Below are 26,841 nucleotides of genomic sequence, written 5' to 3'. Positions count from 1 at the left end.
CAAAAATTAGCCGGGCATGGTGGCACATGCCTGTAATCCCCACTACTCGGGAGGCTGAGAAAGGAGAGAATCACTTGAACCCAGGAAGCGGAGGTTGTAGTGAGCCAAGATCACGCCATTGTACTCCAGCCTTGATGACAGAGCAAGACTCTGTCTCAAAAAAAAAAAAAAAAAAAAAACCCGAAAAACAAAAAAAGATGTTAAGTTTTCTCAGGTATTTTCTTATTTAATTAAGTTACTTACTACCAAGGCTCACACAATTAGTAAGTACTGAGGCAGTAATGAAAGACCAAGCCTCTTTAATATTTATCCTGCTATTTCAATACTTCTTCACTAGTAATGACCACTGAGTCAGGAAAAATTTCTTTCTAGAGTTAATGAAAATCACAGATTTTTAACTATTCATTCTAATGAGACCCTAATCTGGGAATTAATCACACCAACATGGTGACAACAGAGTAAAGGCTAAGAAAATATCTTCCTGAAGTTCAGTAATAGCAAAATAATATTTAATATTGGTATCAATGGATATGTGCCTATCTTGCAAAATTTTAAAAACTAGATGTGGCGAGCAGAATGAGCTCTCCCATTTGCTTCCACCATTTATCTGTTCACAACCTTATTTATATATTAAAAGGGGTCCCAGAGAATCTGTGCTACTTGGAATACTGAAATTCTTCCTGTGGTAAAATACTGTGCTTACCAGCTTGTTTGGGTATCTGAGGAGGACTGGCTGCACTGGAACTCCTGGAATGAAGGCTCCTGCAACCACATTGAAAGTTTATAATGTGTTTTTATGTGAATAAAAGTTTTATGATAAAGAGAAAATTAATAAATAGTATAAATAGACTGAATATTTTAAGAGTATGTGTAACAGAAATCATTTGCTAAATGTTGGTAAATCCCTAGTGCTTACCAAAATGAGGGATTTTTTTTTTTTAATTAAGAACTACTGAAGCAAAATATTAAATGCTGTGCCTATGCCACTTAAAATATTTGTTTATTCATTGATTTATTTCTCCACTTTTTTTCATTTTCCAAGTGTTAATATTCAACAGAATTGTTTTAAGTAATGATAAAATCAAGACAAAGAAAAAATAAGAAGAAAAGCTACATGAAACCAAATGCTTGAAGCAAGAACTACCACACTTGCTAGAAGTGAGTCATAACTTTGCTGCTGAGCATTCTGGCAGCTAATACAAAAACATTTTAAAGTATTAAAAATTATAATGAAAGCTGCATTCACTGACTTCTAATGTTAAAAAAGAGGTGAACCTTAGAAAGCATCTGAAGACATTATAATGATAATGAGATAGGTTTTCTACTTGATGACATAGAACCTTATGTGTCCGTGAGGGTTCCCAAACACACACACAGCCACACATCCTAAGTGCACATGCATGGAGTGGACACTCCAAGGGGAGAGGAATTATGACCCCAAAAGAGAAAGCAAAGCAGTAAGTTCTGTGGATCCACAACGTTAAAAAGTTGCTATCAGAAAAGAAAAAAATGCTCAGAGCAAGCTAAAGAGTTATTTTGTGTATTTCTATAAAATCATTTGCAAAATCTCACATATTACTTTGTTAGAATACATAATTTAATTTTTCTCACCTGGTTTAAAAGTAATCAAACAGGAACGATTAGTACAAGTACCTTCTGGGAAAACTAGTATCTTGGGAAAAAAGGAATAGATTTAATATTTCAATCTAATTAATAAATTACCTCTTTACTCGCTTTCTTATGACTTCACAAACAGCTGCCAATGCTTAAAAAACAAAAACAAAATAAAAGGCTAACATTTGATTCTAATGAAAGCTACTATCAGATTATTCAATTTTCTTGTAAAGAAAGTGTTGTCTAATTTAATTAGAAAATGGATTTAAGCTTTGAATAAAGAATATACTTAACAAATGTCTCTTAATGATAAAACTAATGATCTGAATAAACTTAAAAGATGTAGAGCATAATTCATGGTCAAAGTGTGCATTAGGCTACATTAAATTCTTTCTTCTGCTATATATCCTTAACCAAATAATTTCCAACTTTGTTTCAGTTTTCCCATTAATATTTACTCCCACAACATATAGTTCAGGCATGTCTTGAGGACAAAGGAAAAAAGATATGTGTACAATGTGCTTCATGTTTACTTGAATTAGTTGACATATGGAATACAACTTAATATCTTTTTTCTTTTTGAGGCAGTGTTTTTAGCTTTTAACATACTTCTTCATGTTTTCAAAGTAAAAGATATGCAGTACGTTAGTTTCCCCATTAAGTAAAATAGCAACTTAATTTTCTGATGCTTTTAAAATTTAGCCATGAATAAATTGCTAAGTGAATAAAATAAAATAAAGTAACATCCTGCACTCACAGCAGTTAGCAAAGTGTTTTTATGATAATTAGATAGGGAAAATATTATTGGGCTACATTGCCACAATAACAGGTTATTTATAAAATAAAAATTATGAAAGGATATAATTCCATTCTCCAGTTTAAAAGTGGGTTTCCTATGACAACGGGATACAATATCAAATATATTTTATTCAGTGAAAATTCAACAACTAAACTACTAACGATTAATGGGTATACAGTGAATCGTAAAATCTCAGAGCTGGAAGGGCCATTAAAAGTCACCTAGCATATCTAATGCTTGATTTCTTTCTACAATAGTGGTAGTTCAGCCAATGCCTGAAAATTCTAGAAAAGGATTCCACATCAGACCATTCCACTTCTGGACAGAAAGTTGTTCCTCAAGATGAGCAAAATGAGCTGAAATTTATATATTTGTTATCTCCCATCTACCAGTCCTAGATATAGTCTTTGGATCCACAGAGAAAAATCAAACCCTACTCCCAATGCCACCTATTCTCAATCCTCTTTTTAATCACTCCTTACATGCTTTGGTTTCTAAAACAACCTGTTTGGTCACATACTTTCTCTTGGACTTTAACATCTTCATGTCATCATGTGTGGCTAGATAACTGTAGGACTATTAGTCTGCTAGAGATGAGTTGTTTTCAACTGGGCAAAGATAAAGGAGTGACTATTAGAATCACCCTTGGCTTATTTTGCAGTAAATGTTACCCCCCCCCCACCCCCGCATTCCAGGGAAGGGAGTGGTGAGATGGTAAAGTTTGAAAAAAGGTTCTACAGGTGATTTTGATATGCCCCTTGAACTGAAAAGCACTATCTAAATATACTTCAGGTGAGATTAAAGATCTTAATCACTTACCCACCACAATATTGAGTATAACTGAGCTTATATAATTAAGCTTCTAAAATATGAAATAGGAGATACTTTAGTATAATGGTAATAGATACTAAGGTATCCCCTATCTCATCTATAAAGTGGTAATTAAATTTAGAGTTAGAGAATCAAATTTTTGTAACACAAAGAGAAAATTGGTTCAAAGAGTTTGGAGAATAAAAAAGAATAATACATTTAATTCCATAGAGTATCTCATGGGGAAGAGGACTTCTTAATACTGGCTACTGTATTTACTCTGCATCTATTATGCTAACAATACCTAGTATAGGTGTCCACAGATATTGCTATCTGTGGATCCAAATGAGTAAGTCTACATACATACAATTAATAAACTCCCACTATATTTAAATTAACATCTACCATGTTTTACCTGGGGCCATTCTCCTCCTGATGTTGTTCGCTTTATTATTTCATTTATTGTGTTTTTTCGGGAATCCGGATCTACACGGGACACCAAAACTGGTTGCACAGCCCGTAACAGTCCTTTAAAACAAATGAAAAGTTACAGGCAAGCCATTTTTTGGCTAAAGCAACCACAGCAATAATACTGGATATATAACATATTGTATGGAAAATTTAAATGAGTAAATCAAAGAGAACAATTAAAAAACAATTTATTAGAACTTAGCTTCTAATTTTGAAAGAAGTGGATATTTACAACTAAAAACATTTCATTAATTTAACAGAACTAAGCAGCAAAAATACAAAAGGAAGCAAATGTAATTTTCTCCCTAAAGGTCTTCTTCCTCAATTGACATTAAACCTTTGGGATATGCTACAAGATTATTGTTTTATTTTAGGAATACCTTGAAAACTGATTACGTGAATTCACAGTACACATAAGTAGGAGTAACCATTACTCATAATACTGCAATTTTCAGTAGAACATTTTTTTAAAATAGCTTCCTAACACACGAAAAATCAACTTCAATTTACCAAAGATCTATTGCTACACAATTTTTCAGGAAAAAGCCATATTACACAAAGCATGGTAGTTACATTAAAAAAAAAATGTCTTAGCTGAATGACAAAGCTGCAAGAACTACTATTACTTCTCCAGAGCACTGAGGCAACATCAGGGAACTTTCACACTCTCTCATCATCTGATGTTTGCAATAAACTTGGGACAACAGGGAGTAGTTACTTGGAGACAATTCTTGAGGGAGACCAAAGCATCTGGTAGGAAAAACACTTCACTTGCGTCATTATTTTTCATGGCAGGAAGTACCTATTGTCCCACATCATAATTTTCAAAGAGCTACACATAGGTCCCTCATGGAGATTTGGGGGGCAATAATGAAGAAAACAGAGTAAGGAGAAATCACTTACTGCATTTAGCAGCCTAATATCCTGAAGATAAATTCATCAAACAGCATATACCTGTGTTTTCATAGATTCTCTCAAATCAAACATGGATTAAATTCTCTCAAATCAGGCATGGATAGTATCTGAAAACTAGTCTTTCTGGCTATATATAAGAACAGAAAGACAATGACATAGTGATAAAAAGTTTTAAAGAGTTATGAAGCTATAAAAGGGAAGTCTCTAATCTTTTTTCATAAATATACTATTTCCATGTAGTAACTTATTACAATAAAGTAAATATGTTTGAAATGTTTATTTTAAACTTTTTAAAAAGGTTATCAATGAACTATATATGATTATTTTAATTTAAAGCATGAGCATGAAAATATTTTATCTACGTTACCTTACAAGTACTTACTGCCAATCAGAGGGACTTGTGCATTCTCATTTCGAGATACCATAGAAGGTAACCCAGCTACAACACAGGCAATTCCATCAAAGAATGTTGAATGAGGGGCAGCAACAAAAACTGGTGCTTCCAAAGGACTTGCAATCTTTCCTTTTACAGCAACTATAAATCCCATTGAAAAGAACATAGCACGACCCAGAAATTTCAAAGCTGTTTGAGTAATTTTCCTTTGAAAATATAGAAAAGATGTAATTAGCTCTGTTAATTAAAGCTAGCAGCAGGGTTTTACTCTATAATACAATAAGAAAACCAAAACATGTCAGAGTATTTCATATGAAAATATGAGCTGAGGAGAATAACAGCTAACACTTACATGGAGCTGTTTCTGCCAGGTGCTAGGCACTATTCTAAATGCTTTATATATAGATTAATCTCTTTAATCCTCAGCCTAATCTTTTGAAGTAGGTATTTTGAAATTATTACTCCCATTTTATAGATGAGAAAACTGAGGCACAGAGAAGTTAATTCACCCAAGGGTATGTGTGGCTAAGAAACAGCTCCATCATTCTGAGACTATAAAGTGTTAAACATGAATTCTCAACACACATCCCCTACTGAGATATCCAAATCAGTATTGTCCTTCAAAGTGGTTATCTTGGGAATCCACATTTGTGTAATGAAGATGCTACTATCTCCTAAAACACTTTTGGAGCTCTCACACTGAAACTGTTCTCAGAATTATTTTAGGAATTTTTTTAAAAGTCTTGTAATCCGTATTGTTACAGTTTTTAGATATCATCAACAATCATCAGAAGTGAGTTCAACATCTCACTTCCCTGGAACAGAGATGTACTTAAGCAATTCCAGAAACTACTTTTTTAAAAAACCTTTAAAAAAGATTCTGCCATTATAGATTAGTTAATTTATCAAACTGTGTCAGGAACTATGCCAGACACACAAGACAAGTAAGATCCAATTGAGTAGGGAAACAAAAATGTATTCCTAGAAGTGCAAACACAGGAGGGATATCTCAGTATGTGAATAAGCATATAGCTTTTTATGAAAAATAAAATATGTACATCATCCAGGAGGTATCTAATGAGAGCTTTTTTTTTTTTTTTTTTGAGATGGAGTTTTGCTCTGGTGCCCAGGCTGGAGTGCGGTGGTGCAATCTTGGCTCACTGCAACCTCTGCCTCCCAGGTACAAGCGATTCTCCTGCCTCAGTCTCTCGAGTAGCTGGGATTACAGGCGCCCACCACCAGGCCTAATTTTTGTATTTTTAGTAGAGATGGGGTTTCATCATGTTGGCCAGGCTGGTCTTGAACTCCTGACCTCAAGTGATCCGCCTGCCTCAGCTTTTAAAAATAGGATTCTCATCTAATTTTCTCCACATTTTTGTAATAATATACTGAGGAGCTATTAGCAACTAGTTCCAAAGAAGTTTCTGTGACTTTTATTTCACAAGAAGGAGGTAAAGAAAACCACAATACTTTCCCAGAGGGCACAGAAACTGTACCTCCCTTTCTTCTTTAGTTTAGAGATGAGATTTCTACTCATGTAATGATATGAAGTGTATTCCTTTATCAAATTTCCACACCTCTTATTTTTTATCCATAGTGATATAGCTTCTGATAACTATATTTATCCCATATTCTGAGCCATTAAACACTCTTATTTAACATGTTTAAAGAATGGCTCTAAGTCTGGTCCCACATAATAACTTCAACGTTACCTGTTTGAGAGGAGAAAGAGATACTAGTTTAATTGACAAAAGTAAAACTTTCTTTTCTAACATTTATTATATCTATTGTCTGGATTATTTAGACTATTCCTTCTATCATCCTAGGTTTTCATAAGCCACCGACAATAAAAATCAAAGAGGTAATCTGAAAAGAATTGGTGAGTCATAAAAACGTTCCTTGAAGCATTGTTTTATACTACACAACCTTGAGTTTAAAACAAAGGAGTATGATTTGCAAGAACTGAGATTTCTCTGGGGCATTGCCAGCATTGAATTCATTTCCACTTTGATAGTGAAATTTGTTCACTGGAACATGAACTGAACAGCAAACTATGTATTTCTTTAAAAGTTTCTAGAACAGTCTTTCTCAAAATTTTTGGAGGATGCACTCACATTTGAGATTTAAATACAAAAATATCCTTATATATAAAAATTTGGCAACAATTTCAAAAGGTTTGACAATGCCCTGAAACCCATCTACAGATTTGGAATTCACATGGAATCCATGGAGTCCACATAAGAGGCTGCACTTTTAAGGCATACAGATCACAACAATTTGGTTCTGTTCAATAAGAATAAACTTTTACCAGTAGCTTTGTCAACTCATGATCAGTTTCTCCTCTATTACCATCTTAATTAGATAATGCCTGAAAAGCAGTTCCATTCTGCCTCATGCTAATGTTTAAAATAACCAGACTGTACTGGTTAATAATTGTTATTAATAATTGTTTTAATAGAAATTACTACTAAAGTAATTAATAAAAATAGTATAACTAATCCACTTATGCCACTGCAGAAAGCTGTAGAGGGAGAAAAGCAAATGTGAAAACTGAGAGCAAGGTATTTTGTAGCTTCAGTGGTTTCAAGTATAGTAGTTGGGTATCTTTCCGAACTAGGGATGTATCGCATTTGGCAATAACTCAGAAAACAAAATATTTTAACATTAGGCAATTATAACTTTTAGAAGATTATCATAATGTAGTTGGCATTTGGGCAGTAATTTCTACGTATTTCATATGAGAAATAAAAATAAATTATTTATTATTGAGTAGGCAGATAAAACTGTAAAATTTATTATTGAGTAGGCAGATAAAATAGTTTTATCTAACAGCAGTTAGATCACTGACTAAACTATGATGAACTCTTCTTATATTGATTTAGTATATCTTAATTTAATATTATGTCCTAATATTTTGGACAAAATTATTTCTTACCTCCTCCAACCAGTTATTGGGTGGGTCAGCTTTTCAGGACAGCATACTGTTGAAATTGCAGCAAATGGCCATGCAAGTAATAAAATTAACGCAACCAATAAGACACGAATTGGAAGCAAGATAATCCCAAGAAGGACAATCTGAAAGTCAAAGTTGGTAAAAATAAATGAATGGACATTATTTTAATTCATGGCTATCAAACAGAAACATGTAATAGGAAAGTTTTATGGTGTTCATGCATTCAGTCAAGGATGAATTGACTACTAGCCTGTACCAGACAAGGATTTAAGCACAAAGAAAAATAACAAATTATATCTGACTTCACAAAGCCTACTGTGTAGCAAGAGAAACACTGAAGAAAACCGTAAGACAAATGATCTGCATACCAATGAAAGTGAATAGAGAATGCTGGGGGAACAAAGAAAAGGTGTATATGATTTAGCAGCCAGGGAAAGCTTCCTGGAGGAGTTGTAGCCTGAACAATCTTGCAGTAAGCAGGAGCTAGCAAGGTAAGAAGGGGAAATTGCTTTTTGAGAGCTTTAGGTAGAAAAGTGAAGGCATCAGAGTGTGACGAAGTAAATACATTGTTTTATATACCTGCCAGAACTTTATAACTAATAACAATAAGGAGATAGATGAGAAAGTAAAAATAAATAAGAAGAAGAAATGAAAAGTAAATTAAAAAGAATAGCAAATAATACATGGATGCTTACTATGTAATACACCAGCCATTCTAAGCACTTGGCGTGTAGTAACTTATTTAGTTCTTACAACCTTAAGTTTCAAGTTTTACATACCAGAAAGGAGTAACACAGAGGGAGTTAAATTGCTTAAGATCACAAGTGGTAGAACCAGGATTTGAACTTAGTTTGGTTATAAAGTTTGTGCTCTTAATTCTTTTACTGTACTGCCTTTTGAGTAAAATAGACTGTGCTTATGTATGACACATTGCCTTTTTTTCTATAAGCTGATTATATTACTCAGATAGTAGGCTTCTTTTGCTGTCTCTGCTGGCCCTTATCTGATTCTGAGCACCATCAAATAATTTAGAAAAAATGCCAATATATTCTAATTATCTGATCTTTAGAATATTAAACAGTAACACAAGGAAATGTACAGATCTAAAGTATACAATTCAATGAGCTTTGATAAATATATACTCATGTAACCACCACTGCAATTAAGACACAAAACATATTTACCACTCCCAGAAAGTCATCTTGTGTCTCTTCTAGTCAAACCCTATGTTCTTAGGCAACGAATGCTAGATTTCTATTGCCATAATTTAACTTTATCTGTTCTTAAATGTCATATAAATGGAATCATACATCATGCATTCTTCCACTTAATACTTTTTATTCCACTATGTTTTTTCATACACCAGTAATTCATTCTTTTTAATTGCAGAGTATTATTTCACTATGTGACCATATGACAATATGTTTATTGATTCTCCTACTGATGAACATTTGGGTTGTTTCCAATTGTGGGCTATTATGAATAAAGCCACTATGAACATTCTTGTACAAGCCTTTATGTGAATGTTTTAATTTCTCTTAAGTAAATACCTAGCAGTGGAAATGCTGGCTCATAGATGTTATTTAACTTTATAATAAACCACCAGTTTTCCAAAGTTGTGTCATTTAAAAGTATCAGTGGAAATGTGGGAGAATTTCAGCTGCTGTACATCCTTGCATTTGGTTTGGTAGACTTAAAAAAAACTTTATTAAGGTACAATGTACATAAAAGAAAAAACACCTATTTTAAGTTTATAGATTATGAGTTTTTCAAATGCATACCCCTATGCAGTGACCACCACAATCAAGATATTTACATCATCTCAAAAAGTTTTCTTTTGCCCTTTGCAATTACTACACCCTCCCCAAACCTAAGCAACCACTGATAGGCTTTCTTTCACTGTAGTTTTACCTGCTCTAGATGTTCATATAAATAAAATCACTAGCATTTATTTACCCTTTTATATCTGGCTTGATCACTTCATATTTTTGAGAGTCAACCATATTTTCATATATATCAGTATTTACTCTTTTTAATTGGAGAGTACTATTCAATTGTATGAATATATCATGATCTATCTATTTACTTGTTCATGGGCATTTGGCCTATTATAAGTTTTCAGCTATTATACCTCATATGAACATCAATGTTCAAATCTCTGTGTGACCATACATTTTCATTTCACTAAAAATAAAATTATTGGGTCATAGGGCATGTTTAACTTTGTATAATACTATAAAACTGTTTTCCAGAGTGGCTTCACCAGTTTACATCCCCAGCAAGGTATGAGAGTTCCTGTTACTCCACATCCTCACCAACATATGGTATGGTCAATTTTTTAATATTTAATGTTAGCCATTAAAGTGGGTATAAAAGGATATCTCATGTGGCTTTGATCCACATTTCCTTGATGAACAATAATGTTGAACACATTTTTCATATACTTATTGGTCATTCCTTTAACTTCTAATATTAGTGTCTGTTCAAGTCTTTTTGGCCCATTTTTACTGGTTTGTTAGTCTTTTTCTTATCAATTTGCAAGAGTTCCTTATATAAATGTATACAAGCCCTTTGTCAATATATGCATTGAAAATATTTTCTCTCATTCTGTGGCTTTCTCATTTTCTTAATGGTATCTTTTGATTAAAGTAATTTTAATTATGATGAAGTTTAATTTATTAATTTTTATTTTATGTTTAATTCTTTTCTGTGTCCTTCTGAAAAAATCTTTACCTCAAGGTCTTGAAGATATTCTATATTTTTTTCTTCTAGAAGCTGTATGATTTTCACTTTTACATTTCAATCTATGATCAATCTTAAATGACTTTTTTTGTGTGGTATGCAGTATGGATCAAGGTTCATTTTTAACCATAAATTTATCCAGTTGTTGCAGCACCAAAAGACTTGACATTTCTCAATGAATTTTCTTGGTAACTTTGCAAAAAATCAATTGAATATTAATGTATGGATTTTCTTTCTGTTGCATTGATCTGTTGATCTATACTTCTGTCAATACTCCACCACCTTACTTACTACAGGTATGAAGTAAGTCTTGAAATCAAGTAGTGTGTGTCTGCCCATATATTCTTCTTCTTCATTTTTCTGAAGGCTATTTTAGATACTCTGCATTTCCATATAAGTTTTAGAATTGTCAGTTTCTACACATACACAAAAACCTGTTAGGATTTTTACTGAGATTTCAAAATGAATCTACAGATCAATTTGGAGGAAATTGTCATCCTAATAATATTGATTCTTCCAATTCATAAACATGGTATATCTCTCTATGTAAGTCTTCATTAATTTCTCACAGCAATATTTTGTAGTTTTCAGTGTAGTGATCTTATATGGTTTTTCCTAAGTATTTAATGTCATTTTATTGCTGTTATAAATTAGATTACTTGATTTCATTTTGCAATTGTTTGCTCCTATAGTATATAAATGTAAGATTGACTTTAAGTTTTGATCTTTTATCCTATGACCTGGCCAAGTTCACTTATTAGTTCTAGTAGTTAGTTGTTCTGTTGATTCCTTAGGAAGTTCTTCATATACAGTCTATATCATTTGTGAATAGGACAGTTATACTTTTTCCATTCTAATCAATATGTCTTTTATTTCTTTTTCTTATCTTATTGCACTGGCTAGGATCCCTAGCGTAATGTTGAACAGAAGTGGTGAACAAGATATTTGTCTTATTCCAAACCTTTGAGGAAACAGATTCAATATTTTACCACTATGATATTAATTGTGGGTGTTTTGTAGATGCCCTGTATCTGATGGAGAGAGTTTCTCTTTATCCCTATTTTACTAAGAAACTTTTTTTATCACTAGTGGGTATTGAATTTTGTCAGGTGAGTTAATGAAATTTCTGCATCTATTGAGATGATCACATGCATTTTATCATATGTTCTGCTTATATGGTGAATTACATTGAAATTGGAATTTTATATGTTAAATCAACCTTATATTCCTGATATAAGATAAATTTAGAAGTGATATACACAGTATCATCCTTTCTATACAATGCCATATTTGACCTTTTAATGTTTTGTTAAGAGTTCTTTTAGCTATGATCATGAGGAATATTGATCTATAATTTTCTTTTCTTATAATGTCTTTTTCAGATTTGGTATCAAGGTAATGTTAGCCCCATAAAACTAGTTAGGTACTGTTCCACACTTCTCTACTTTCTGAAAGAGCTTGTGTGAGTGATTTTATTGTATTCTTAAAAGTTTGACAAAATTTACTAGTAAAATAATCTTGGCGAAACGTTTTCTTTAAATGTATATGTGTGGATACAAAATAAATTCAAATTCCTTCATAGATAAAGGGCTATTCATATTTTCTAGTTCTTGTGTCTATTTTTGATACACTGGATTTTTGTCCATTTCATGTATGCTTCAAATTTACTGGCATAAAGTTGTTAATAATGTTCCCTTATTAGCCATTTAGCCTATAATGATATATGCTGTTTCATTCTTGATACTGGTAATTTGCATTTTCTTTCTTGTTTTCTTATCAGTCTTGGTAAGGATTTATCAATTCCATTAATGTATTCTATTAATGTATTAAACAAATGTTTGATTTTAATTTTCTATGTGGTTTGTTTTCTATTTCACTGATTATTGCTCTTATCTTTATTATTTCCTTTCTTTGACTTACTTTGTGTTTAATTTGTTCTTCTTCCAGCTACTGAAGGTAAAAACTTAAATCATTAATTTTAAATCTTTCTTCTTTTCTAGGTATTTAAATGTATTGGTTTAGTTGCAAACACTGCTTTAACTGCATCCTACAATTTTGATACGTTGCATTTTGTTTACATTTAGTTTAAAACATTTTGTAATTTCACTTGTAATATATTTTTGACCCAAGGACTATTTTAAAGTATATAGCTTGATTTCTAAATATGTAGATTTTTATCAGATATATTTGTTATTGATTTCTAATATAATTTATTGTGTTCAGAGAATATTCTCTGTAATATTTCAAACTTTTGGTATTTATTGAGGTTTTTTATGACCCAGCATTTGGTCTATGTCGGTAAGCATTAAATGTGTACTTGAAATTATATGCTGGTATTTTTGGAGGTAGTGTTCCATAAATGTCAATTCAGTAAAAGTGGTTACCAATGTTCAAATTTTCTATATTATTAATCTTTGGTTTGATTGTTCTGTCAATTACCAAGAAAGGTGTGTTACCATCCTCAATTATGTTTTATTTATTTCTTTGTTTAGTTTTCTCAATTTTAGCTTCATGTTTTCAAAGTTCTGATATTACGTACATAAACATTAAGTGCTGCTAAGTTTTCCCACTGACCGTTTAAAGAAATGTTCCTCTTTATATCTGATATCATGACATGTCTTGAAGTCTACTTTATCTGATATTAATACAGTCATATCAGCTTCTTACACTTACATTATTTCCACATTATCTTTTCTCCCTTCTTATCTTTGTATTTACATTTATAGTGCATGTATTGTGGATTAATGTATAGCTGGGTCTTATTCTTTTGTCTAGTCTGAAAATCTTTGCCTTTAAGTTAGAATGTTAATTAATGTATACTAAATGTAATTATTGATGTATTTGGGTATAAATCTATTGTTTTGCTATTTCTTTTCTATATATCCCATCAGTTTTGTTTCTGTTTCTCCTTTTCTGTTTTCTTCCTTGAGTTCATGAAATTTTTCTTTAGTGATCCATTTAAATTTCTTTTATGGCTCCTTTGCTATACCTTCTTGTACTTTTAGTCAGCAGTTGGTCTGAAGATTACAATGTGTGCTTAGCATAAGACAATGTACTCAGAGTTAATACTGTACCACTTCACAGAAAGTGTAAGAAAAGTACAATTCCATCCCATCCACCACTCTTTCAGTATTGTTATGTTTTACCCCTACATATATGTAAACCCAAGAAAATAATAATTTTTGTATTAAATGGTTACATTTTCTAGCTCTTTGATGAAATTAATATAAAGAAAAAAGTTTTATATCATTCTTTCCATATTTACCATTTCCAGTGCTCTTCATTCCTTCCTGTATATCCAAGTCTCAATCTGGTGTTATTTTCCTACAACCCAAAAAATGTTCTTTACCATTTCTCTTCTTTCTTTCTTTTTTTTTTTGTGATGGAGTCTCGCTCTGTCTCCCAGGCTGGAGTGCAGTGACGGGATCTCAGCTCACTGCAATCTCCGCCTCCCAGGTTCACTTCATTCTCCTGCCCCAGCCTCCCAAGTAGCTGGGACTACAGGCGCCCGCCACCACGCCCGGCTAATTTTTTGTATTTTTTTTTTTTTTAGTAGAGACGGGGTTTCACCATGTTAGCCAAGATGGTCTCAATGTCCTGACCCCGTGATCCGCCCACCTCGGCCTCCCAAAGTGCCGGGACTACAGGTGTGAGCCACCGTGCCCGGCCTCTTTACCATTTCTTGAATGCAGGTCTGACAACAAATTCCCTCCATTCTTATCTGAAAATGTCTTCATTTTCCCTTCATTTCTGAATAATATTTTCATTAGATACAGGATTATGGGTGGATAGTTGGGTTATCTTTTTATTGGTGAGTTCTAAGAGTTATTTATATGTTTTGAACACTCTACTCTTATCAAATGTATAATTTGCAAATATTTTCTCCCATTTGGTAAGTTATCTTTTCAATTTCATGGTAGTGTACTTTGAATCAAAAAGTGTTTTATTTTGATGAAGTCCTCTTTACCCATTCTGTCTTTGGTGGCTAGTACTTTCGTTGTATGTCTAGAAAACCACTGCCTAATTCAAGGTCATGAAGATCTACACTTATGTTCTCTTCTAAGCATTTTATGATTTTAACTCTTACATTTAGTATTTTGATCTGCTTTGAGTTAATTTTTGTATATGCTGTCAGGTAAGGACCTAACTTCCTTCTCCTGCACATGTCAATCCAATTGTCCCAGACCATTTGTTGCAAAAACTACTCTCTCCCCATTTTATTGTCTTGGCAATCCTGTGGAAAATCAGTGGCCACAGACGTATGAATTTACTTCTGTATTGTCAATTCTATTTCATTGATCTATATGTCTGTCTTGTTACTGGTACAACACAGTCTTGATTACTGTAGCTTCACAGTACGTTTTGAAAATGAGAAATGTGAGTTCTCCAATTTTGTTTTTATTTTTCAAGATTCTTTTGGTTGTTTGTAGTCCCTTGCATTTCTGTATGAATTTTAAAATTAGCTCATCAATTTCTGCAAAAAAATAAAGAAGCCAGCTGATATTTTGATAAGGGTTATACTAATCTGTAGATCAGTTTGGGAAGTGTCATTATCTTAACTATTTAAGTTTTCCAAATTTATGAACACAGGATGTCTTCCCATTTATTTAAGTCGTCTCTAATTTCTTTCAATGATATTTTGTAGTTTTCAATGTAGAATTCTTCTGTTGCTAAAGTATTTCACTCTTTTTGATGCTAAATTAAATCGAACTGTTTTTAAATTTCATTTTTAGATTGTTGCTTGTGAAAAAATATGCCATGATTTTTGTATATTGATCTTGTATCCTGCCACCTTGCTGAACTGATTTATTAGCTCCAAGTGTTTTTGTGCATTCCTCAGGATTTTCTATGTTTAAAAAATCATGCCATCTTGATGGTTTTACTTCTTCCTTTCCAATATAGATGTCTTTTCTTTTTCTGGCCTAAGCGCCCTTGCTAGAACCTCCAGTACAATGTTGAATAGAAGTGATGAGAGTAGATATCTTTGTCTTATTCCTTATCTTAGAAGAAAACTTTTTGGTGTTTCACTATTAAGTATGTTAGCTATTTTTCACAGATGCCCTTTATAAGGCTGAGGAAATTCCTTTCCATTCTTAGTTTATTGAGTGGTTTTTATCATGAAAGTGAGTCAAATCGTTTTTCTGTGTCTATTTTCTTGTGCCCTTTATTCATTAAATATGGTGCTCATGTTAATTTTTCTATGTTGAACGAACATTACATTTTTGGGCTAAATATGACTTTGCCATGGTATAATTCCTTTTATTAGTTGCTGGATTCAGTTTGCTAGCATTTTATTGAGGATTTTTGCATATATATTCACAATGGATATTGGTCTGTAGTTTTCTTTTATTGTGATGTCCTTTTTTGGTTTTGGTATCAGAGTAGGCCTGGCCTCACAGAATGAGTTGGGGAGTGCTCCATCTTCTTTTATTTTTTGGAAGAGCTTGTGAAGGATTGGCATTAATTCTTCATTAACCCTTTGGTAGCGTTCACCAGTGAAGTCATCTGGTCCTCAACTTTTCTCTGTGGGATGTTTTTAATAACTAGTTAATCTTTTTATATATTATAGGTCTATTTGATTTTTTATTTATTCTTGAATCAGTTTTGGTATTTTGTGTCTTTCTAGAAATTGGTCCACTTCAACTAAGTTATTTAATTTGTTAGCATGCATTTGTTCATATAATTCCTTATAATCCTTTTTATTTTGGAAAAGTCAGTAGTATTGTCCTCTCTTAATTTGAGTCTTCTTTCATTTTTTTCTTGGTCAGTGCAGACAAATATTTGTCAGTTTTTTTCAGAGTACCAACTTCTGGAGTTGTTATTTTTCTCTATTGTTTTATTATTACTTTGGAATCACTGGTTATTTAGAAGTAATTTAATTTTGACATATTTGTGAATTTCTCAAATTTTTTCTGTTATTGATTTCTACTTTCAATCCACTGTGGTCAGAGAACATACTTTGTATTATTTTAACCACTTTATATTTATTGAGAATTGTTTTACTGTCTAACATACAGACCTACCTTGGCAAATGTTCCATGGGCACTAGAATAATGTGTTTTCTGCTGTTGTTGAGTGTTCTACATACATATCTGTTAGATCTAGTCTGTTTATAGTGTTCTTCAAGTCTTCAATTTCCTTATGATACTGTCTCATTGTTCTACCTTCTATCATTATTGAGTAATTGAAGTCTCTAGCATTGTTGAAAATCTTTCACCCTTCGATTCTGTCACTTTTTCCTTTGTGTATTTCTGGACTCTGCTGCTAGATGCATATATGGTTATAATTATTACATCTTAATGAATCAACCCTCTTATCATTATAAATGTCTTTCTTTAGCAACAATTTCTGTCTTGAAGTCTATTTTATCTGATAGTAATACAGCAATTCCAGCTCTCTCCTGGCTACTGTTTGCATGGTATATCATTTTCCATCTTTTTACTTCCAACCTATTTGTGTATTTGAATCAAAAGTATGTCTCTTGACCAGGCATGGTGGCTCACACCTATAATCCCAGCACTTTGGGAAGCCAAGGTGGAAAGACTGCTTGAGCCCAGGAGTTTGAGACCAGTCTGGGCAATATAGGGAGATCCCATCTCTATAAAAAATACAAAAATTTGTTGGGTGTGGTGGTGCATGCCTATTGCTGCAGCCACTCAGGAGGCTGAGATAGAAGGAACACTTGAGCCCAGGAGGTCAAGGCTAGAGTGAGCTGTGATTACACCACTGCACTCCAGCCTGGGCGACAGAGTGAGACCCTGCCTTTAAGTAAATAAATGAATAAATAAAGTGTGTCTCTCTTAGGAAGCACAGAGTTAGGTATTTTTATCAATTCTGTGAATCTTAATTTTAATTGTTTTATCAGTTTATATTTAATGTAATTACTAATAAGGTAGGATTTATATATGACATTTTGCTATTTGTTTTCTGTATGTCTTACGTCTTTTTAAATTTCTCTATGTCTACATTGTTGCCTTCTCCTGTGTTAAATATTTTCTAGTGTATCATTTTAATTCCCTCATTCTTTCTTTTGCTATATTTAAAAATGTATTTGCTTTGTGATTGTCCTAAGTGTTGGCATCTTAACTTATAATAATTTTCTGGTTCGGATCAACCAACTTAATTTCAATAGTATACAAAAACTGTGATCCATTCCCTCCTTTCTCCTATTTGCTATTATTATTATACAAATTATGTCTTTATACATTGTATGTGCATCAACACAGATTTATAATTATTGCTTTATGTAGATGTTTTTAAAGTTGGATAAGAGAAAAAAAGATTTACAAACAAAAAAATTACATTTGTACTGTCCTTTATGTCTACCCATGTAGTTACCTTTACCACTGCTGATTATTTCTTCATGTGAATTTGAGTTACTGTCTAGTATCCTTTCATTTCAGCCTGAGAGACTCCCTTTATTATTTATCTTAGGGCATGTGTGCTAATGACAAATTCTCTCAGTTTTTGCTCATTTATACTTCATTTTAAGGATAGTTTTCTAGCTATACAATTCTTTGTTGACAGTCTTCTTTCAGCGCTTTGAATATGTCATCCTGCTACTCCCTTGTGGTCTCTGTGGCTCTTGATGAGCAATCAGTCATTAATCTTGTTGAGGATTCTTTGTACATAATGTAACTATATATAGGTATCTTTGAGTTTATTCTTAAGAGTTCCTTGAGCTCCTTGGGAAGGCAGATTAGTGTTTTTAATCAAAATCAGCAAGTTTTTGGGCATTATTTCTTCTAATATTCTTTCTGCATCTTTCTCCTTTCCTGGGACTCCCATTACGAAACTGTTGGTAAAGCTGATAGCGTCCACAGGTCTCTGAGGTTCTGTTCATTTTTCTTCATCTTTTTTTATGTTCCTCAAACTAGATAATCTCAGTTGACCTGTTTTCAAGTTTGCTGATTCTTTTTTTGTTTGATAGTCTGCTGTTGAGCCCCTCTAGTGAATACACACACACACACACACACACACACACACACACACACACAATGCATTGCATCTTTATTGATATTCTCCATTTGGTGATACCCTGCTCCATACTTTCTTTTAGCTCTTTAAACATGGTTTCCTTTAGTTATTGGACCATATTTTAAATATCTGATTTAAAGTCTTTGTATAGTAAGACTAAAGTCTGGGCTTTCTCAGGGAAAGTTTGTATTGACTGCTTTTTAAACTATTTATAAGCTATACTTTGTTTTTCTTTACACACCTTGCAATTTTTAAATGAAAACTAAACATCTTAAATAATATAGCAACTCTGGAAATTATTCTCATCCCCTTCCAGGGTTTGTTGTGGTTGCTGTTTGTTGTTGTTATTTGTTTGTTTAGTGTCTTTTATAAACTAATTTGTAAAGCTTTTATTCTTTGTCATTGTGGCTACTAAAGTTAAAGTCTCTGACCAGTTAGCTTAGTAATCAGCTAATAATTAGAGATTTTCTTAAGCACCTGAAACCAGCAAGTTTCCTGATCCTTGCAAAGGGTCTCTGTGTACATGTTGGGGTACATCATAAACAGTCAGGTGACAGATGACAACTCTGCCTTAGCCTTCACTTTCTGCTTGTACAGTCCCTCAAGGTTAGTCAGAGGTGACAGCTTAGGGTATTTTTAGATATTTTCAGGACATGTGCATAGCCTTGAGAATTAACAAAGCCTTACTCATGTGGACAGCCTTCTAGATTCCTAGGAATATGTCAAAGCTTTTAAAGTCCCCTATGATCATCTCATCCCTTAGCTTTTCTTTTAAGGTTTTTGGCTAGCCTACTGTTTGCTCCAACTGTTACTCCCTGTCTCAGGCAGCTGTGATGTTAAGCAATTGCCTCTGATTTTTTTATTTTTATTTTTTAAGAAGCAGTCTCCCTATGTTGCCCGGGCTGGCCTTAAACTTCTGGTCTCAAGCAATCCTCTCACATGAGCCTCCTGAATAGCTGGGACTATAGGTGTGCACCACTGCACTCGCTTTCCTCTGATTGTTTTTGACAAACGCCCTTGAGAGAAGGCTATTTGCACTGTGTAAGCACCAAGACAAATCAAATAAAGACAGTCTTCCCAATGAGGCATTCCAGGCAGCCACCAGACTGACCAGTAATGACAATTCCTTGGGAATGGGGCTTTGAAAATGCTCCAACACTATTTTTCCCCCTCTAGTGGCTGACAGGTTGCTGGTTTTCATTATGACTGTAGGCCGTTGGTTTTTAAGGCTACTACAGAGCTGAGGATGAGGAATTAGAATAAAATTAAACTGTAACGAAGCCTACTATTCTAACTAAGAGTCAGCACTCTTAAATAAATGCTCCTTGGATTGTTGAAAGCCTTTGGTTAATTTTCAGAGCTAAGACAAAGTTGATTCTGATTTTTTTTTTTTGTTTTCATTGCTTTTATAGAGAAGATAATTTTCAGAGGCCTTTACTTCATCAGTTTTGCTGATGTCTCATCTCAGTTTTTTTCATTCTGCTTTTTAGACTGAATAATTTCTAGTGACCTATCTTCAAGTTCACTAACACCTTCTTCTACCATCTTCAATGTGTTGTTGAGCCCATCCAGTGAATTTTTCATTTCAGATATAACAGTTTTCAGTTTTGAATGCCCATTTGGTTCTCTTTTACATTTTCTATTTCTCTGCTAAGCTCCTTCCAACTATTCATTCATTATGCCATTCTTTACTTTTAAGTCCTTGAGCATTTTTATAATAGCTCCTTTCAAGTATTTTTCTGCGAAGTCCTACATTTGATCATCTTAGGGTCTGTTTTTATTGCCTGATTTTTCTTTTGATCACAGGTCACATTTTCCTATTTCTTTGAATGTCTAGTACAGTTTTTATAGTATTTTGGCCATTTTGGGTGATATATTACAGATATTCTGGATTCTGTTATCCTTTTCTAAAGAATGTTGATTTCTGTCCTGGCAGGTAGGTAAAATTCTGGCTGATTGCATTCACTTTGTGAAGGCTTAGTTTTATACTTTTTTAGGGAAAATTTGTTTGAAGCTAGCCCTTAGTCTTAGACTGAAGCCTTAGTCCTAGGGTATAGGACTAGCTTTTCTCCTATGGTATCACCTTTGTGAGGTTTCAGTGTAAAGCCTGAGATGTTTGCCAAGGCCCCCTTAATTGGTGGGATTCTAACTGTGCCTTCCCTGTGGTGTCTATCAGTTGAAATGTCTGCTCAGTTTCTTCTTCCTTCCAGCTGTTACTTTCCTCCAGAGTCCTTGAAGGCTCCTTTGTAAATACACAGCTCAGGAATCGGCCAAGGTTTTGAGATCATTTATATGCCAATTTAGGGGCTCCCTCATTTCTAGTTTCCTCCTTTCTGGGACTTCCACCTTCGATTTTTAGTCACTTTGATAGTCTTGAACTTTGTGCTCTGATATATCATGTCAATCAATAAGGCTGAGGCTTTCTAGCAATCCCTTCATGTGGTGTCAAGTGATAACCTTCAGGGAAAAAAAGGGGCTGGGGTAATGTTACACAGTATAGAAGTATTATTTCAAGAAACAAATCCCTCCAGTTTCTGTCTGATTTGTGTTGCTCTATAGTGCCTTCGTGTAGTTTTTCATATTTTGACTAGGGTTTATAATTGTTTGTCTACATTGTCTACATTGAGCTACTCCACCATTCCTGAGACTAAAACTAGTCCTGTTAAATTATTATTATTCACTTGAAAACTGACTTACAAATATAATGAAACTTATGCTATCAGTCTTATTTCCTATAAAACAGAATACGTATTAGGTAAGATGAGTAGGAGTTTCAGAACTATAATATAGAAGGGATCTTGGATCCAGGAGATTTTTCTTGAAGCTCTGTGTACATGGTAAGCACACTATTTTTAGCTAATGTTATATTTATTTGAATGGTGGTGCAATGAAGTATGGTGGTATACTGGGGAAGAGTACTGTGGAGAAGATGAGACGACTCAAATTCCCAAGTCACTCTGGTAGGTCACTGGCTGAGATTCTCTTCAAAGAGGTATCATTATTAAAAAACAAGCAATAATCTTGACTGAAAGAAAGGACCATATAGCATAGACCCTGAAGAAAGAGTTGGAATGAGTTTAAAGTATATTAGCATAAGAGTCACTCATGTCTACACTGAGCAACCCATATGGATTTTAATTGAACAAGTTGCAAAATATTAGGCAACTTTTTTTTCTGTGCCATCTTCAAGGTTTGCAACAAATAATAGTGTCTAACAGTAAATCAATTTTGAGTTAACTCATTGACAAATTAAGAGAATTCATCATATTTCCATTTGGTAATATGTCATCTCCATTGGGTGGCCTTCTCTCAGTGTTATTCTCTGGTTTTCCTTCATTACACTTACTAAAACATGAGATTATATATTTTTGTACTTGTTTGTTTAACTATCTTAGTGAAATGTGAGGACAACAGTCCTTAAGCAAGACATTGATCATCATTTAAGATTAAACTTAGTCTAAATTAATCATACTAAGTCATACTTAAATGAAAGTGTGTCCACCTTTTAAACTGGATAATATGGACATTGTTTTTCTACCATGCCTATTCAAATCTTCCCTTTACCCAGATGATTCAAGCCACTGAAACCTCTTGTATCTCTGATCTATATAAATTTAAAAAGTATTTTTAATATCCAGACTTTGTTAAATCCCATTTAATCCAAGTAGTAAATTTTAAGTACAGTATATACTTTGTAGAAAATATATAGGATAACTATCAATATTATCAATATTAAGATCAACAAACAATAACAGATTATTTCACTTAATTGTAGCCCTCCTTTGAGTTATTAATATTCCAATGTAATAGACGAGAAAAGTATAGTTCAGAGAGGTTAAGTGACTTGGCCAAAGTCATACAACTAATAAATGACCAGTTCCTATAACTGACTAGCTATCATTCCATTATACTATAACTCTCAGAGAGTTATTTGGAAGAGATCTTTAAACAGTAACAAACCAGGTGATGGAAAAACTTAATAATTTATTATAGGTGCAATATAAATATTTGTCAACATTCCATGCTGTTTCTTTCCAAAATATGAAGTCAAATAGATGGGCATATTTTCATTTAAGTATGATTTAATTAAATCAGACTAAATTTAATCTTGAACAATGGTCTATGTATTTACAAATGTTTCAGAATGTGAAGACACAAAAAGAATATCTATTAATTTAAAGACATGAGGATCACATTTTTAAACGTTTAATTTCCTCACAAAGCAGTATTACTACATTCTTTATCTTCTTCCTCTCTCACACCCCTCTTCAACCAGACACCCATCTACCATTACTCAAGCCACCACCTGTGTTGTTTAGCTCTGCACTTAACCTTCCCCCACTGTAGAGGACAATGGTCTTAGTGCATACAAGCTGATTGCAAATATTATACTGCTTCAAATCCAAAGTAATGTGTGAGATGGACATGAAAACTTCAAAATTGTTCCCCCACCCCCCCAACCCCCGCAGAACACACGGACAAATGTGGTTAGCAGGGTCTATCTTGTTCTCTGATCACTAACTTCAACAAAGAGGAAGTCCAAAGAGTGCAACTGCCAATGGTAAAAGGAACCCTTTACAAGAAAAAGGAAAGGAAAGGAAACTTCCTTTGTGCATAACAGTATAGCCATTTTTAACAATGGAAAACAGCCTGGGCTACTACTTCTCATGCTTCAACTTAGGAAACGTTTTTAGGTGAAGACTGATTCTGGACCAAAACTTCTTGAACATCCTAAGCTGACTCAGTTGTCCCTTTTCTTTGATTCTGACTTCCCACCCTCCATCATGCTCCTGCTCAGCTAAATCTTTCCAGCCTTACCTGTTGTTCTAACCACAGACCTAGGCTCTCTGCCTTCTGCCTCACTCTTATCCATCCCATACTGACTCCTCTCCTTCCTAAGGCAAAAAAAAAAAAAAAAAGACTTCTTCAAATCTACTCTCCCGTAGTAGATCTGCCTCCCACTACACTCTCATAAACTCAAGTTGAAGCTTCTGTCACAGATTCACAGATTCCTTCAACCTTCTGGGGCATGGAATGTAGCCTGCGCCACCAGCCAGCTCAGTCTCTTCCTGTTTTGGATTCTCCTCTCAGGCCCGCATCTTCCCAGCATCTTCTCTCCTCCCGTGCCCGCTCAGACCATCCTCTAAATGTCCTCAATTCTCAGACACACATCTCCGCCCCTTTCAGGCTCACGGCCCCTCAGAAGTCCTCTCCTCTCAGATCCACTGCTCTTTCTTCCTCTGATGCCTTTGCTTCCCAGACCCACAACGCCCCTCAGACCCACGCGCCCCTCGACCGCCCTCCCCCGTCAGACCTACACCAGTCACCTGGACCCGCCCCAGACCCTGGCTCCCCTCGGGCCACCTCCCTCCTCAGACCCATGCCCCCTTCAGGCCACCTCCCTCCTCAGACTCTCGCCCGCCTCGGACCACCTCACTCCCTCAGACCCACGCCCCCCTCGGCCGCCCTCCTCTCTCAGACCCACACCCCTTACCTGGACCCCCCTCTGACCTAGGCCCCCCTCAGACCACCTCTCCCCTCAGACCCACGCCCCTCACCTGGACCCGCCTCGCGGAGCCGATCTGCGTCTGCTGCACGAAGGGGTTCGGCACCGGCGGCGGGAAGAAGGACGCCTGACGGGGCACCATGGGCGGCCGCAGCCCCACGTTCCCGACGCCGGCACCTGGCACTGTGGCCGCCACTTCCGCCGCCTGGGCGCACCGGCTCATAGTTGAGCCGGGCGTAGAACCCGGCCGAAGCGATCTACGCGGGCGCTGCAGCCAAAACTGAGCCGAAGACCTACTAGAGTCCCAGCCTAGGGCGACGCTGGGGAGCCTCTGCGCAGGCGCTGAAGTTACTTAGACGCCTGCTGCTGCCGCCCTGCCCCTTCGGCTGTGACACGCCCCAGGCTCTGGCCACACCCCCTCAGGCATCTGGCTCCACCCCCTTGGTAATATAGTCCATCCCCTCGGAGGGGAATGTTTTCCTTCCGAGCCAAGACCCTGAAGGGTACCCCAGGATCCCTAACATTCCACAGCGAGACACTAGGCAGAGTTCCCTGCTTTAGGGTCGGACGGACCTGGATTTTCAATCCCTTTTACTGGGCCTGTGACGCTGGCCAAATCACTATCTCTATGAACCTCGGTTGCCTTCCGTAAAATGCAGATAAATGTATTCTCAGATAATCCTAACCTGGATCCAGTAATGCCATTGAGCAACCACTTCCCCTGGGCTGTTCCATTAAGTGAGCTAATATTAATACACCCATGATGGCACTAGGAGTGGAATTTGTTTCACTCAAAACATAATGGACTGACAGGGGAGAGATGGTTCTCCAGAGGAAAACTGAGCTACTATTACCAGAAAAGGCAAAAATTACAGTTGCCCTCCACGCTAGATGAGGAACCTGACCCAGAAAAGGGAAATGTATTGGGCTGTGGCTCCCTTTCACACTGAGGAAGTTCAAGCCTGTTTGGACCTATGTGGGTGCTCGTGGGGGTGGGAGGGCAGGGGTTTGTCCCATTATCTGAGGACAGTTGATCAACCCTGAGTGGCTGAGAGTTAAAGGAAGGAGATGATAATCAACTCATCCCAACTGATCAACTCTTCTCACAGCAGGTAGGAAGGCCAGGATGAAAATCTGAGTCTGAGCCCTGGGGTTCTCCAAAGTTACCCTCTGAATGTCAGAATCTTCCAGCCCTACCACATAGATGTGTGGCCTTGAGTCAGTCACTTAACCTGAGTTTGCTTCCTTGTCTAGGAATGGGAGATTCATTCTAACTCCATAGAATTGTAGCAAGGATTAAATAAAATAATGCATGTGTAGTGTTCATAGAGAAACACTGAAGAAATGGCATGTTTTAAGCATTATTATGTTGTGGAGCCACTGACTTTTCTCTCAGTGTAACAGGGAACATTAATAACAGTGCATTACAGCCATGATAGAAGATTCCCCAGTCTAGGGGGTCTTCAAGTTGGGACTGGCAGACCCTTGAGACTCTTTAGCCAGATACCTGCACAGAAAGATGTCTTTCCAACTGTCAACAACCTAAGCCAGGCCAGGTGCAGTGGCTCACGCCTGTAATCCTAGCACTTTGGGGGCTGAGGAGGGTGGATCCCTTGAGCCCAGGAGTTCGAGACCAGCCTGGGCAACAAAGAGAGACTCCACCATCTCTAAAAAAAATTAAAAATTAGCTGGCTGTGCTGTTGCATGCCTGCAGTCCCAGCTACTCAGGAGGCTGAAGTGGGAGGATTGCTTGAGCCCAGAAGATCAAGTCTGCAGTGAGCTATGATCATGCCATTGCACTCCAGCCTGGGTGACAGAGAAAGACACTGTCTCAAAAAAGAAAAAAAAAGAAGAAGAAGAAACAAAAAGAATCTGAGTCAAGGGGACAGGCCATGGGAGGATAAAAGATAGAAAAGATGGGGCCGAGAGTGGTGGCTCACACCAATAATCCTAGCACTTTGGGAGGCCGAGATGGGTGGATTGCCTGATCTCAGGAGTTCGAGACCAGCCTGGGCAACACGGTGATACCTGTCTCTACCAAAATACAAAACAAATTAGCTGGGTATGGTGGCGTGCACCTGTAATCCCAGCTACTTGGGAGGCTGAGGCAGGAGAATCACTTAAACCTGGGAGGCAGAGGTTACAGTGAGCCGAGATTGCGCCATTGCACTCCAGCCTGGGTGACAGAGTGAGACTCCATCTCAAAAACAGAAAAAAGAGATAGAAACAATGACATCAGGCTCACTGAGGAGGTCACCTGTAGAGTTCACTCCTTACGCACCTTCCTCACCAGCCCCATCATAAGAGGCCAGAAGCAATATATATACTATCAATCAGACTATCGGAGCCAGAAAGGGCCTCAGAAAAACCCCAGGCCTTCAATTTCTGTTCAGCAGTAGCTCCAGAATTTCTATGTAGGAGATTAGGAGTGGGTAGACTGGTAGGAAGGAGTAAGGAGCTTATCCATTAATACCAGCTGTGTTTAGAAGCAAGCACAGTATTTCTCCCTTAGCTGTGTTTACCCAGCGTGGTTTTGGGGGTGGTGGAGGGTAGCAGGAGCGGTTTTGAAGGTGGTGGGGGTGTTTTTGAGGGTGGCGGAGGGTGGTGAGATTCTGGTTTGAGAGCTAAAGCTCCTCTGCTAGGCTATCCTTTGGCCTTGT

General features: G+C 35.8%; 1 protein-coding gene across 4 annotated transcripts in view; it reads right to left on the bottom strand.

The window, feature by feature from the left end:
• The window catches only part of LPCAT2 (lysophosphatidylcholine acyltransferase 2), a 77,595-nt gene extending 53,081 nt beyond the window's left edge, over positions 1-24,514 (bottom strand). For 2 of the 4 annotated variants that reach the window (NM_017839.5, XM_005256006.4), the window contains exons 1-6: positions 24,234-24,514; positions 7,939-8,078; positions 4,992-5,209; positions 3,639-3,751; positions 1,612-1,672; positions 704-762 (exon numbers count right to left, since the gene is read on the bottom strand). In NM_017839.5, the coding sequence (NP_060309.2) occupies positions 704-762; positions 1,612-1,672; positions 3,639-3,751; positions 4,992-5,209; positions 7,939-8,078; positions 24,234-24,404 (762 nt within the window). In that variant the 5' untranslated portion in view covers positions 24,405-24,514. Of the gene's footprint in view, positions 1-703; positions 763-1,611; positions 1,673-1,722; positions 1,766-3,638; positions 3,752-4,991; positions 5,210-7,938; positions 8,079-13,963; positions 13,982-24,233 lie in introns of those variants that run through there. The other 2 variants (XM_047434277.1, XM_011523169.4) reach the window with 2 other exon arrangements.

Source organism: Homo sapiens, chromosome 16 (assembly GCF_000001405.40).
Source record: "Homo sapiens chromosome 16, GRCh38.p14 Primary Assembly".
NCBI classification, from domain to species: Eukaryota; Metazoa; Chordata; class Mammalia; order Primates; family Hominidae; genus Homo; species Homo sapiens.
Note: the sequence above shows the minus strand (reverse complement) of the source record. Positions and strands in the feature narration are given on the sequence as shown.